The 15777-nt window shown below is 37.5% G+C and overlaps 1 protein-coding gene and 1 long non-coding RNA gene across 2 annotated transcripts in view; one reads left to right on the top strand and one right to left on the bottom strand.

The window, feature by feature from the left end:
* Positions 1-15777, bottom strand: part of LINC01088 (long intergenic non-protein coding RNA 1088) — a 337052-nt gene that overhangs the window by 106526 nt on the left and 214749 nt on the right. The window contains exon 4 of the long non-coding RNA NR_038342.1: positions 6342-6438. This is a non-coding gene — a long non-coding RNA (long intergenic non-protein coding RNA 1088). The remainder of the gene's footprint in view (positions 1-6341; positions 6439-15777) is intronic.
* NAA11 (N-alpha-acetyltransferase 11, NatA catalytic subunit) overlaps positions 1-15777 on the top strand; it is a 170686-nt gene that overhangs the window by 123788 nt on the left and 31121 nt on the right. The window lies entirely within an intron of this gene.

Below are 15777 nucleotides of genomic sequence, written 5' to 3'. Positions count from 1 at the left end.
TCCTTTATGGCTGGATAGTATTACATTGTATACATACATTCCACATTTTCTTTATCCATTCATCCACAGAAAATAAGCCAGGCATAGAAACACAAACATCACACGATCTGACTCATATGCAGAATCTAAAAAGGTTGATCTCATGGAAATAGAGAGTAGAATGGTGGTTACCAGAGGCTGAGAAGGACAGAAGGAAGGGAAGGAGTAGGAGAGGATTTTGAATGTTATCACCACAAGTAAATGATAAATGTTTAAAGTGATGCTAATTACCCTGATTTGATTATCATATAATGTATACATGCATTGAAACTTCACACTGTACCCCACAATATGTACAATTATTATGTGTCAATTATAAATAAAATAAAACTTAAAAAAAGAAAAGACAGGATGAAGTTGAAGTTATTTTTTTGATAACTTTACAATATTGTTAATATTCCTCATTGAGAAACTTCTCTAAATAACTCAATAGCTATTTGCTTTAAAAATTCATTATTTATTTTATGTAAATAAATTTGAGCCTAAAGTTCACAGTAATATTTTAGAGAACTGCAAGGCTCACATGGAATATTTACAGGGAGTATCTAAGGCAAGTGAGGAGGATTTCAATTACGTAAAAATTTAAAAAGTCCCAAACACCAAAAATATAAGCAACGTCAAAATAAAAGTGAAAAACTGAAACATACATATGACAGGCAAAGGGTTTTTACCATTAATATAAAAAGAGCTCTTAAAAAATCAGTGTGAAAAAATTAACATCCTGGTACATAAACTGGCAAAGATCGGATTCATAAAGAAAGTAAAATAAATATGAACAGAGCAAGTATTAATGTAAATTAAAACAAGATTCTATGTTTTAGTTATCAATACTCAATACTGTTGAAAAAGTATTGAAATAAGCAATCTCATTTACTGCTGGTACATTCAATGTGGTATTTCTGTAGAGAAATTTTGCTATGTGTATAAAGAATCTTAAACAGAAATTCATTGTTCTTGACATAGTAATACTACTCCTGAGAATCTAGTATAAGGAAATTTGCCCAAAGAGTTTTAGAAAGATGTTTTTACAGCATGATTTATAATGGGAAATTTGGGAATAATCTAAAGGTTCTATGGGTAAATAAATTAAGAAACAGCCATGCACTATATTTTAAAATAGCTTAAAACCTTATTTTCTAAGAATAGCATGAAACGTAAGGAAAAATTTGTGAAGAATCTTAAGAAAAAAACACAATATAAAACGCTATATATGGTATAAAAGCAACTTACAATTTTATTAACATAAAATTGTATATACATACATAAAAATACATATATGTATAATATATATGGCTTATTAGACATCTATTTTCATGTATTTTTCAATTGGGACTTTTATTTGACTTCTCTGAATACAACAAAGTGCAGTGGAAACCAATTTTGTCATGAGCTAGGAAAAAAACCCAGAAACATCTACATCAATGAAAAGCCCAGGATTTCACTGTGAGTTGCATGAGTGAAAGGCTTGCAAAGCATGGTAGGGTCTCACTGGAAGAACAAGAATCAATGACAGGAAAACTCAATTTATAATTAAACTATTTTTATAATTGTTTGACTGAGTCATTTCCAGCCACAGGGTCTCTAATTGAATTTCCCACGTTAAACCTTTCATCTCTCCTATGGCTTCTGTAGGGAAAGCAACTTCCCTAATATCTCTTCTAAGTAACTCCTACCCATCCTTCAGATCTCAAATATCACTTCTTTCAGGAAGGCAGAAACCTACTCAGAACAGGTCAAGTTCCCATTTTATACAATACCTTCACAGTTTTATCCTTCCCTATTGCTCTTAATTCCAATGTAATTTAATAATTAAATGGATGATTCATTGCTGAATGCCTTCTTCCCTCTTTCCCAGAACAAAAATTCTATGAAGGTAGAAATCAACCCCGTCTTGTTCACTACTCTGCCCCCAAGGCCCAGCAAATAACAACAGGCAGCACATTACTATGTGTCAAGTATTCTTCTGAGTTTTTTAGGTATATTAACTTATTTAATCTTCATAACAATCCTATAAGGGAGTTATAATTGTCTTCATTTTAAAACGGGAGGAACTGAGGCACAGAGGTCCCAGGTCACACAACTAGTAAATGTCTGGGCCAAGATTCCAGCCCAAGCTGTCTGGCATCCTTAACCATGATCTATGCCTTCTCGTTGTAGGTACCCCATAAATATTTGAATAAATATTTGAAGAAATGAATGAGGAAGCACATTAGCAATAAAATGTGTATTTGCTATGAATTAAGCACCAGCAGAGACATGCCCTGTAACAGCTGTAGCTCATCATTTCATGGTCACCTGACCATAATAGATGCAGAGGACTCCAGTTCTATAATAGGAATACCATGAACAAAGCTCCATAGACACCCTCATTAGAAATTCAATTATAATGATTTCTTTAGAATAAAAGACTATTTCAGACTTTAGATTTTAGTGACAGAAATCTGAAATTAAAAGATTTGGAGAAAAGGCGTAAATGGTTTTATGACACATATATGCATCAACTCTAATTATAACAACTGACCAGCCACAAAGCTCTCCCTTTTTTGTATGCTCTTATTTCTTGTTGAAATCAGCTTTGAAAGAGGGTCTGTAATTGCAAACAAGTTGTGCAGAATAAACAAGCCATTATTGTAATGAGGATAATTCTTGCTGAGGATTATTTTTAAAAGCCAAATTATAGACTCCCAGTCTAAATTGTATCTGTTTTTTGTCACTCGCTTTCAAATTTGGTACTTATTTGCATTTTGCCTGACCTGCTAGTTAGAGCACAAGTTCACAGAGTCCCTTCTGATGCCATAATGAGCTAAGGTAATAACCACCACATAATTGTGTTCAACTGCATACAAGTGTTTACTTTTTACTGCTGTGCGTCTGCCTCCGAGATTTTTGAGATGCAATTATGCATTGCAAAATTTGCAAGTTGCCAGCCTTGCTTGGACTATTTTTGCTATGTTTCACATTTAAACTGCTTAAGTGTATAAGTGGAGGTATAAAACAGCCAGGTTTTTCAGACTAGAAAATTACTGTTACTTAAATGGCAGAATTTCTGCTCTGTGGTTTCCTATTTCCATGCCTTGCCTCGGCTACATATCTTTTTAACCATCTGTTTCTTTCTGGCGACCAGCTACAGGGAGGCAAGCAACTGTATCTGCATTACTATGTGGTTTGACATCTGGTATCTAAATCCAACCATGGTATTGATTTGTGAATTGTTTAAATATGAGATCATATTAGTTACACTTGCAGATCCCTCTTCATTAACATTTCTAACCCTGCTCATGCCAGAATTGCATGCCATTTGCCATAGAGAAAGAGTATGCATGTTTTCCTGCAGGTTGCATAGAATTTGGGTATGTGAATATGAAATTTTTTAAGTAACAAGAATATATTACACAAGAATTAAAATTGGAAATTTCAGATATGATAGTGAGAGGTGTTAACACACATCTCAATGTGCACATGCTCTTAAGTATTCCCAAGACCGCTCTTGTTGAACAAATTCCAAAACTGTTGAAATCATGACATATATCAATCTTTTTAGACAAAGATACTATTGACCCATGATCATTTGGAAAATGTCGCTGTTCTCTCTAGAAGGAAAGGATTCTACACTGTCTCCTCTTTCCCTTGTTGCTGAAAGTGTGCATGTGGAAAATGCCAACTAGGGTTAGGGTACAGGAGGATACCCCAGACCTCAGAAAACACCAAAACACTGAGGAAATAAAACAATGGCTTTGGTCTCATAAGCACCACTCATGATATAGTTTACAAATGATAGTCATGATGTTCCCAACAATCTCTTAATTCTTCTTAGTTATTGATTCCCATGCTTAATTAAGACCACTTAACAATCCAAGTGAGCCAAGAACAATTCAGATGGAAAGTACAATTTTGCATTAAAAATCATCTCAGAAAAAGATGCGTGATTTTGCTACCATCCTGTTATACATAAGAAGAGAGACAGGAAATTGGTTCTGCCCACGAAGGAGGCATAGAATCTACCTGGACCATGAGAGACCTCTTAAAATGAGTCCCTCTTTATTTCTTGCTTCTTCCACACTCTCACTCTCTTAAACAGGTTTTGACATAATCTTGTAATTATCACTTCAGAAAGCAGACATGAGATCTGTTTAACAAACTACTTGGGAAATATTACTTTTCACATTCTATAGAAAAAGTATCAAAAAAAGCAAACTCCAAATAAAGAAAGGGCATATTTACCAGCTCCTTCAGCTGAAACTAAATTACCTTTAAATCTGCTTAAAGTTATTTTACTTACCTCGCATAACCTTTCCTATCTACTCACCCACACCCTTTATTGACCTAAAGAAATCATATTCATCCTTTATGATTCAGCTCAAATGTCATTTCATCTCTGAAGACTTCCTTGATTCTCCCAGCAAGAGTCAGGTGCTTTGACACAACTCTCCTTTATACTTGAAATACCTCTACGATACTGCCTATGCTTCTATTCAGGTGTGTTTAGATCATGTGTTTACATGACAGTACCAGTCAAGAACTGTCATAATAAGGTTGTATAACAAACTCAGTAACACTACTAGCATAGAGCAATAAGTTTGCTTTACTCACAGGTCTGGGGCTCAGCTAGATATTCTGTTTCAAGTGTTCCATGTGTTATCCAGGCTAGGGAGCAGATGACAAGGAGAAGCTTCTCTAAAGCAATAGCATGGCTCTTAAGCTTGGCTCAAAACTGACACACTCACTTCTGCCCACATATAATTGGCCAAAACAAGTCACATGGCCAAGTCCAAAGTCAAAGCATAAGAAAGTACCCTTCACCCATAATGAGTCCATGGTAAGAAGATAGATGCAGGGAAGACTGAAAACACTGAGGCATAAAATTAAACTACCATAATGTCTACTACAGCAAACGTCACACATTCAATAGAGATTCATTGGATGAATGAATAAATAGAACCCAAAACATTCAGAGTAAATCTCAAAGTTTGTGGAAATAAAATATGCCTTAAAAAAAACCCCTCAGTAATCATATTCCTCTTTAGTAAGCTTTGAGTTATCAATTTAACCTTGTTTGGACTTAAGTACATGCATTTCTTGTTATGGTAACAAATTACCACAAATTCAGTAGCTTAAAACAATATAAATTTATTATCTTATGGTTGTGGAAGTCAGAAATCTGTGTCTCACTGGACTAGAATCAAAATGCTAGCAGGACTATATACCTTTTGGAGGCTCTGGGACAGAATCCTTTTTCTTTCTTTCTTTCTTTCTTTTTTTTTTTTTTTTTTTTTTTTTTTGTCTTTTTCATCTTCCAAAAGAGGTCCACATTCCCTGGTTCATGGCCCCTTCTATCTTCAAAGCCAGTGATGGCAGCCAAACTTTTCCATAGCATATTGCTCTGACACTCTTCTGTTTCTCCCTTCAACATTTAAAGGACTCTTGTGATTACACAGGACCCACCTAGATAACCCAGGAAAATCTCCCTATTTTAAATTTAGCTAATTAGCCACTTTAATATCATCTACAACCTTAATCTCTCTTTGCCATGTAACCTAACATATTCACAAGTTCCATGGAATAGAATATGGACATCTGAAGAGGGGAGGGGAGCAGATTTTTCTGTCTACCACATGGCTACAACATATTCTAATGAAAAAGCACAGATCCAGGAAGCAGTTCTAGTTTGAGTCCTACAACTAGCCAAAAATAGTAAATTGGACAAGTCCCCTAAAATTTCAATTATTTCTGGTGAAATGAGGAGGTGGTTCTAGCTGATCTCTAGGGCCCTTTCCAACTCAAATTCCCTTGATTCTGTGAATATAGTACATCTAATTATACCTTAGAGTTAAAAGAGATTAAAGCCTAATTCATTAGCCTAAAAACAAAAATTCAGGAGAAAGCCTAGCAGTGTTATGGAAACATGGAGGAGGGTCATTATTAATCCTCTCTGGGTGTCTATAGGGGCTTCATGGAGGAGGTGAGATCTGAGCTTATACACCCCTGCAGTAAGGACACTGATATTCTGAGCATGGGAACCAGAGGTAGAGGGCACAGGAAATGAAGGGCACAAACCTTATAGGGGCACAAGCCATGTAGAGAATAGTGAGAAATCACATGTGGACAGAGCATAAAGAGGCAGGAGTAGAGACTGGAAGTGTAGCATAAGGTCAAATTGCGTGCATTCTATGGAGAAAGGGGAGTAAATTTTTTTAGTAAGTAAGGAACAGGCATGGCAGGTGTATTAGTCCATTCTCACACTGCTAATAAAGACATACTCGAGACTGGGTAATTTATAAAGGAAAGAGGTTTAATTGACTCACAGTTCAGCATGGCTGGCGAGGTCTCAGGAAACTTACAATCATGGAGGAAGGGGAAGCGAACACGTCCTTCTTCATATGGCGGCAGCAAGAAGCAGTTCTGAGTAAAAGGGTGAAAAGCCCCTTATAAAACCATCAGATCTCATAGGAACTCACTCACCATCACGAGAACAGCAGCATGGGTGTAACCACCCCCATGATTCAATTACCTCCCACTGGTCCCTCCCAGGACAAATGGGAATTATGGGGACTACAATTCAAGATGAGATTTGGGTGGGGCACAGCCAAACCATATCAATAGGTTTTGTGTCCCTTACAAAGATAATGCAAGAATAATGAGAGAGGGCAGTTTTTTTAGCTGCTTTATTTTATTTAACATTTTAGCTAATAGTGTTGCATTAAACTAGCTTACTGGATACCACAGATTAGATTTTCTTAAAGATTTTAAAAGCCAAAGGAAAAAACAGTAAAGAATATTTGTGTATCAGCTCACCAGTGGTCTTCAAATGTAAAAAAATATTTATTTAGAATAAAAACATATTTTAAAACTATATTTTAAAAATAGAATTATACAAACTGAGTAAGTTCACCCACGTAGAGTTTAGAGAATTAAATACACTTCCAACCCAAAATTACACTCAGCCCCATGCTAAGTGAGCATTTGCTGTATTTATCAACTTCTTATTGACAAGTTGTTCTCAAGATTCCAATTCTGTAGGCTCTGTTTATTCTCTTTGTTTTAGTAGTTACAGTCCAAACTCTGGGGTAGCTAATTGCCCATTAACATTATTTCATCTCTCACCAAAAACATAGATATCTTGAATGATGGGAATGTGTGATTTTAATTGAATCTCTCACTTTTATCTACTGAAGAAGTATTTAGATTAGATAGGACACTTTTCTTTCTGTCTCATCCTTTTTTCTCTGCTCTCTTGAAGATTTGAGCCTCTCCCACAGGACAGCAGAGTGGAGTCCATGGAGTTCCTCAGAGCATTCTTGAGACAAACCATCTGGACTCAAACCTACCTCCAGTATTTGTGTGACACTGAGCAAGTTACTTAACTACTATATGTCTTAGTTTTTTTCATCATAAAATAGGGATAAAAGTAATACACACTTCAAAGGGTTGTAATAAGTGTTAGATAAATCAATATCTGCAACAAGCCTATGCTTAGAAACCAGGCATTATGAAAAGTGTTTATTAAATAAAACCCCCTGGATTGACAGGTATGTGAGAAAGACAAACTCCTTACCTGCTTAAGCCCCTAGAGTATTTTCTGTTACTTATGCCAGAATATAATCTTAGTTGATACATGTGCCAGATAAGGCTTTTCCAAATCAGGCCTTTTAGTTCCTTTCCAATCTCATTTCTCTTTACTCTTTTGCCTCCCCACTTCCTATGCCCAATTTCTCACCTCCGGACACTTGCCCTAAGCACCCAGAGTCACACTGTTACACTTCCCATTATCCTTAAAGACCCACACTTCACCTTCAACATCACATCATTCAGAAAGCCTTTCTTAACTTTTATTCAACACACTATGTTGTACTTATTTCACTACATGTATGTTTCTTTTATTAAAGTGTCAGTGCGCTGAGAAATCAAAGAAAACACAAATGGAAAAACATCCCATGCTCATGCAAAGGAATAATCAATATCATTAAAATGGCTATACTGCCCAAAGCAATTTATAGATTCAATACTATTCCTATTAAATTACCAACGACAGTATTCAATTAGGAAAAGAGGAAGTCAAATTGTCCCTGTTTGCAGATGACATGATTGTATATCTAGAAAACCCCATCGTCTCAGCCCAAAATCTCCTTAAGCTGATAGGCAACTTCAGCAAAGTCTCAGGATACAAAATCAATGTGCAAAAATCACAAGCATTCTTATACACCAATAACAGACAGAGAGCCAAATCATGAGTGAAGGCCCATTCACAGTTGCTTCAAAGAGAATAAAATACCTAGGAATCCAACTTACAAGGGATGTGAAGGACCTCTTCAAGGAGAACTACAAACCACTGCTCAATGAAATAAAAGAAGAGACAAACAAATGGAAGAACATTCCATGTTCATGGGTAGGAAGAATCAATATCGTGAAAATGGCCATACTGCGCAAGGTAATTTATAGATTCAATGCCATCCCCATCAAACTACCAAGGACTTTCTTCACAGAATTGGAAAAAACTATTTTAAAGTTCATATGCAACCAAAAAAGAGCCCGCATTGCCAAATCAATCCTAAGCCAAAAGAACAAAGCTGGAGGCATCACACTACCTGACTTCAAACTATACCACAAGGCTACAGTAACCAAAACAGCATGGTACTGGTACCAAAAGAGAGATATAGACCAATGGAACAGAACAGAGCCCTCAGAAATAATGCTGCATATCTACAACTATCTGATCTTTGACAAATCTGACAAAAACAAGAAATGGGGAAACGATTCCCTATTTAATAAATGGTGCTGGGAAAACTGGCTAGCCATATGTAGAAAGCTGAAACTGGATCCCTTCCTTTACACCTTATACAAAAATTAATTCAAGATGGATTAAAGACTTACATGTTAGACCTAAAACCATAAAAACCCTAGAAGAAAACCTAGGCAATACCATTCAGGACATAGGCATGGGCAAGGACTTCATGCCAAAAACACCAAAAGCAATGGCAACAAAAGCCAAAATTGACAAAAGGGATCTCATTAAACTAAAGAGCTTCTGCACAGCAAAAGAAACTACCATCAGAGTGAACAGGCAACCTACAGAGTGGGAGAAAATTTTTGCAATCTACTCATCTGACAAAGGGCTAATATCCAGAATCTACAATGAACTCAAACAAATTTACAAGAAAAAAACAACCCCATCAAAAAGTGGGCAAAGGATATGAACAGACACTTCTCAAAAGAAGACATTTATGCAGCCAAAAGACACATGAAAAAATGCTCATCATCACTGGCCATCAGAGAAATACAAATCAAAACCACAATGAGATATCATCTCATACCAGTTAGAATGGCGATCATTAAAAAGTCAGGAAACAACAGGTGCTGGAGAGGATGTGGAGAAATAGGAACACTTTTACACTGTTGGTGGGACTGTAAACTAGTTCAACCATTGTGGAAGTCAGTGTGGCGATTCCTCAGGGATCTAGAACTGGAAATACCATTTGACCCAGCCATCCCATTACTGGCTATATACCCAAAGGATTATAAATCATGCTGCTATAAAGACACATGCACACGTATGTTTATTGCGGCACTATTCACAATAGCAAAGACTTGGAACCAACCTAAATGCCCAACAATGATAGACTGAATTAAGAAAATGTGGCACATATACACCATGGAATACTATGCAGCCATAAAAAGGATGAGTTCATGTCCTTTGTAGGGACATGGATGAAGCTGGAAACCATCATTCTCAGCAAACTATCACAAGGACAAAAAACCAAACACCGCATGTTCTCACTCATAGGTGGGAATTGAACAATGAGAACACATGGACACAGGAAGGGGAACATCACACACCAGGGCCTGTTGTGGGGTGGGGGGAGGGGGGAGGGATAGCATTAGGAGATATACCTAATGTTAAATGATGAGTTAATGGGTGCAGCACACCAACATGGCACATGTATACATATGTAACAAACCTGCACATTGTGCACATGTACCCTAAAACCTAAAGTACAAAAAAAAAATTATCAATGACATTCTTCCCAGAGCTAGAAAAAAACAATTTTGAAATTCATATGGAACCAAAAAAGAGCCTGAATAGCCAAGGCAATCCTAAGCAAAAAGAACGAAGCTGGAGGCATCACATTACTCAACTCCAAACTATATTACAGGGCTACAGTAACCAAAACAGCATAGCACTAGCACAAAAACAGGCACATAGACCAATGAAACAGAATAGAAAGTTCAGAAATAATACCACACATCTACAATCATCTAATCTTCAACAAAGCTGACAAAAACAAGAAAGAGGGTAAAGACTCTCTGTTCAATAAATGGTGCTGGGATAACTGGCTAGCCATATGCAGAAGATTGAAGTTGGACCCCCCTCTTACACCGTATACAATAATTAACTCAAGATGGATTAAAGACTTAAATGTAAAACCCAAAACTATAAAAATCCTGGAAGACAACCTAGGCATTACCATCCTGAAAATAGGAACAGGCAAAGATTTCATAACAAAGACTGCAAAAGCAATGACAACAAAAGCAAAAATTGACAAGTGGGATCTAACTGAACTTAAGAACCTCTGTACAGCAAAAGAAACTATCAACAGAGTAAACAGACAACCTACAGAATGGGAGAAAATATTTGCAAAATACGTATCTGAGAATGGTCTAATATCCAGCATCTAAAAGGAACTTAAACAAATGTACAAGAGAAAAACAAACAACTCCATTACAAAGTGGGCAAAGGACATGAACAGACACTTCTCAAAGAATACATACATGCAGCCAACAAGCCTATGCAATAAAAAGCTCAATATCACTGATCATTAGAAAAATGGAAATCAAAACCACAATGAGATACCATCTCACACCAGTCAGAATGGCTATTATTAAAAAGTAAAAAAAAAAAAAACAGCAGATGCTGATGAGGTTGCAGAGAAAAGGGAACACTTACCCACTGTTGGTGGGAGTGTAAATTAGTTCAGCCATTGTGGAAAACACTGTGGCAATTCCTCACTGAGCTAAAAACAGAACTACCATTCAACCCAGCAATCCCATTGCTGGGTATATACCCAGAGGAATATAAATCATTCTGCCATCAAGACACATGCACGCGAACGTTCACTGCAGCACTATTCACAGTAGCAAAGACATGGAATCAACTTAAATGCCCATCGATGACAGATTGGATTTTAAAAATATGGTACATATACACCATGGAATACTATGCAGCCATAACAAAGAATGAGATCATGTATTTTGCGGGAATATAGATGGAGCTGGAGACTATTATTTTTAGCAAAACAATGCAGGAACAGAAAACCAAATACCGCATGTTCTCACTTACAAGTGGAAGCTAAATAATAAGAAATTATGAACATTAAGAAAGAAACAACAGACACTGAGGTCTACTTGAGGGTGGAGGGTGGGAGGAGGGAGAGGAGCATAAAAGATAACTATTGAGTACTGGGCTTAATACCCGGGTGAGGAAATAATCTGTATCAAAAAAACCCTGTAACACAAGTTTACCAATGTAACAAATCTTCACATGTACCCTCAAACCTAAAATAATAACTTAAAAAATTTAAAAAAATAAACAATAAAGTGTCAGCTCCTCCAGGGGGATAAATGGGTCTTTCATTTATCTTTAACGTCTGGCACAGCAACTGGCACAGGATGATTATCAGCAAATGTTGGGTGAATGAAGGGATCACTTTACACAGATTCCTGCCATCAGGCTTTAATTGCTAAGTTGTTAACAGTTTAATCTGTGCTTTTTTTAAAAAAAAAAAAGGGAGAGACAAGGAAGCAAAATGTGGTAAATGTTTTAAATTGCCATACTCCATTCGTTATCAATATTTTATTCTTGTATTTGAAAGGCTCTTCATATACAAACTTTTTAAAAAATGATTTTACGTATGAGGCCACAGAAAATTAAGTTTATTTTAAAATACTTTTTCAAAATCTCATCTCTGTGAAAAAATCCAAGAAGATTAAGAACCTTTTTTTTCTTCAAACGAATTCAATTTTGTCCTTTAGTTTTGCAGTGCACAGAAGAATAACTTTCAAGTTTCTATTACATTTGAAGTGGATTTTTCCCGAAATTGTAAAATATCAGTATCAACAAGACAAATGATGTTTGAAGTGCTTTACACATGATAATTTAGCTTTGTGCGGGTTTTTTGTTTCTGCTGTTGTTTTTGTTTGTGTGGGTGGTTTTTTGTTTTTGTTTTGCTACCCAATGTCAATAATAGCATCCAGTTGACTTGAGACTTTTTATAGTTCTCTGCAAGCCTTCCACACTTTTCTGGTCTCAGTTATAGCTATCTCCACCATACTCATCAAGACTCCTAGCTCACCACCTTGCTCTCTCAATTCATGAAGTCTTTGCTCTATCAATTATTTCTTCTCTTTTCTATGTCTTCAGACTTGCCCTTTCCATTAACTCCTGCCTGTCAACAAATTCTGTCTCCGTCTGGGATCCTTAGAAACAAACCCTTAGACAAGAAGTCAGGTACAAGTATTCAGATAGGGGATGGCAATGTGACACAGGAAATGGAGGAAGTCAACAAAGGGGTGTTACTAATCAAGTTTCTAATCAAGTAAGAGGATACAGTGTGCACCTGCAGCTATACCTTCTTGGGGACTCTGGCAGACAGAACACAGTGTAGGTCTCAGAATTACCTGCAGGGACATGGTGAGAGCTCAGGAAACATGAAAAGGCCACCAGTCATGTCTACTATTCCCACTCCGAATGCCACTTCTGCCTACTGTTAATGTCTGTCCTTTCTCCTTACGTTCCAGCCAGTCTTTTGGAAAGAATAGCTTTTTAAATTGTCTTTTTTCCTCACTTCCTATTGCTTCCTCAAAATGTTGCCATCTAGCCATCCCTTTTAGAAACACCCCAACATTGTTCTTTCCAATATTTCCCTCTAAGCAATCCATTAGACCCTTTGGATCCGTTAGCTTGATTTCTGCTACATCCTGCATCCTTTCTTCTCAAATCTCTCTAGTTCACTGTTTCTCAGGTCACCTATCTCAGTTCTCCTCTTGTCTCTTTGAAATATCTCTGCCTCCTTCATAAGTTTTTTTTTTTTTTTTTTTGAGATGGAGTCTCGCTCTATCACCCAGGCTGGAGTGAAGTGGTGCGATCTCAGCTCACTGCAAGCTCCGCCTCCCGGGTTCACGCGGTTCTCCTGCCTCAGCCTCCCGAGTAGCTGGGACTACAGGCACCTGCCACCACGCCCGGCTCGGCCTCCCAAAGTGCTGCGATTACAGGCGTGAGCCACTGCGCTCGGCCCTTCACAAGTTTCTTATATTTCCTCTTCTCACTGTTGGTGATCCCCAGGGCAGGGTCTGACTTGGCATTTTCTTCTTCGCCCTTCATTCATTTTGTCTTGGGTGAGCTCAGGCCCACCCCAAGCTTCCACTGCTACTGAGAGGCTGAAGACTCTCTTCTGAAATTCAACAGCAAATCATTTATTCATTTGCTGACTAAATATTTCTCAATCTACTATGTAAAATAAAACGTGTCAAGAGATGAATCATAGGAACAATAGTAAGTTTTCATCACATTTATATCTCCGAAGTGTAAAATTTTGTCACCATTAAGTTATGACTATGTTTTTTAAACAGAAGTTTGTCTTTTTTTTTTTCTTTTTTTTTGAGGCGGAGTCTCGCTCTGTCGCCCAGGCTGGAGTGCAGTGGCGAGATCTCGGCTCACTGCAAGCTCCGCCCCTCAGCTTCACGCCATTCTCCTGCCTCAGCCTCTGGAGTAGCTGGGACCACAGGTGCCCACCACTAGGCCGGGCTAATTTTTTGTATTTTTAGTAGAGATGGGGTTTCACCGCGTTAGCCAGGATGGTCTCGATCTCCCGACCTCGTGATCCACCCGCCTCGGCCTCCCAAAGTGCTGGGATTACAGGCGTGAGCCACCGCGCCCGGCCAGAAGTTTCTCTTTATGTTTTTATTTTAACGCTCTTTTTACATCCTCCCTGCCCCTGATAAAATTAATTTTCATCGTTTTACTTGCAGCTTGCTGTTTCAGTGACAACTTTGTAGTATTCAAAATAAAGCTGAATGCCTAGTCTAATTTTAGATAAACAAAAGAGGAAAAAACATTCAAAAAAGGGGAGAAAATTTGTTACAATCGAAAACATAAACAATTCACATTTAAAACTGGAATTCTGTTTTGTTGTTGTTAATGCATATCCTCACAAGTATTTCTTTTTTTTTTTTTTTTTTTTTTTTTGAGACGGAGTCTCACTCTGTCGCCCAGGCTGGAGTGCAGTGGCGCGATCTCGGCTCACTGCAAGCTCCGCCTCCCGGGTTCCCGCCATTCTCCTGCCTCAGCCTCCCGAGTAGCTGGGACTACAGGCGCCCGCCACCGTGCCCGGCTAATTTTTTTTGTATTTTTTAGTAGTGACGGGGTTTCACCGTGTTAGCCAGGATGGTCTCGATCTCCTGACCTCGTGATCAGCCCGCCTCGGCCTCCCAAAGTGCTGGGATTACAGCCTCACAAGCATTTCTAAGTATTAACAACTAGAAGCAAGTTCAGTTTGCTAAACTGCATGAATGGTCTGCACATTAAATAACTGAAGGTTAGAGAAATAAACACATCTTAAAATTCCTCTCCAATAAACCCAAAGAAAAACTACATGCCATCAAATGACACAGTTGGAGATACCGTTTCCGAACCTAATATAAATTGTTAATGTTTTATACCTCAGGACTAACTGTCACGGTTAGTATTTAAACAGCCTCAGTCAATGGGAAGAACTGAAATGTTACTTTTCTCCATGTAAAATTTTTTGATTTTTTATTTGTCTTGAATAATATGAAATGCTACAGTTCCCCTGTAATGCCTGTGAACTGAGTTATTAAATAAATGACTCCAGCCCTGGGCAGCAGTGGGCCATGACATGCAGCTATTTGCACTCACAATACAAATTCAGCTGGATGGATGAACCTGGCATGGTACATCCTCATTGGGATGTTCGTTAGCCTCACTTTACAGCTGTCAGAAATGATATCTGTTATTCAGCCCAGACTCGGGCTCTGAGAAATAATTCTAAAGCAATTGATGATAAAACATGGGAAATTATTTGAGAAAATGCAAACCTATTTGAAAAGCTGACAAACCAAATGTAAAAAAGAAAATCAGTCTTGGAAGATTAAAATGTAATAATAAAAATAATAATTACAGATTAGAGCCAGACAAAGAATATGCACTCAACCTTACCTAAGAGAGTCCTGTGACAGTTTATTACACTAGTCCCCAAGCCACACACTTAATTTGTTTCTAAGCCTGCATCCTATCCCTGTGAGTTACTCAAGTATATAAACCTCACTGTGTTCATCGTGCTTCTCAGGTGTTATATGCATTTCAATGTTCAGTGGAGGTTTGGAGCCTCACAGGTGCTGCCATGTACATTCCAGATAATTTCAGGGATTTAAGGAATTGAAACTGGCTTGTCGTTGGTACTCAGCAGCCCACCAAGACTTCTCTATCCTTGGAACTCCTATAAATATTTTATCTCCATTTGACAAAATCCATCTCTTTTTATCTTTCTTATCATTAGTGTCTCCTCCTTCCCACTAGAATTACAGTTTTGGTACAGCTGAGAATGTGCTTTTTTATTTCTCCAGCTCAGTGCTTGAAGTAGTGTTGTTCACTGATTGGCTTTTAATAAGTTGTTTAAAACCTTTAATATACAGTTATTCAAAGCAATAAAAATGACAATGATGCCCCTG

The sequence above is a fragment of the Homo sapiens genome, chromosome 4 (genome assembly GCF_000001405.40).
Source record: "Homo sapiens chromosome 4, GRCh38.p14 Primary Assembly".
In the NCBI taxonomy this organism is placed as follows: Eukaryota; Metazoa; Chordata; class Mammalia; order Primates; family Hominidae; genus Homo; species Homo sapiens.
This window is presented reverse-complemented; position numbering and strand designations above follow the sequence as displayed.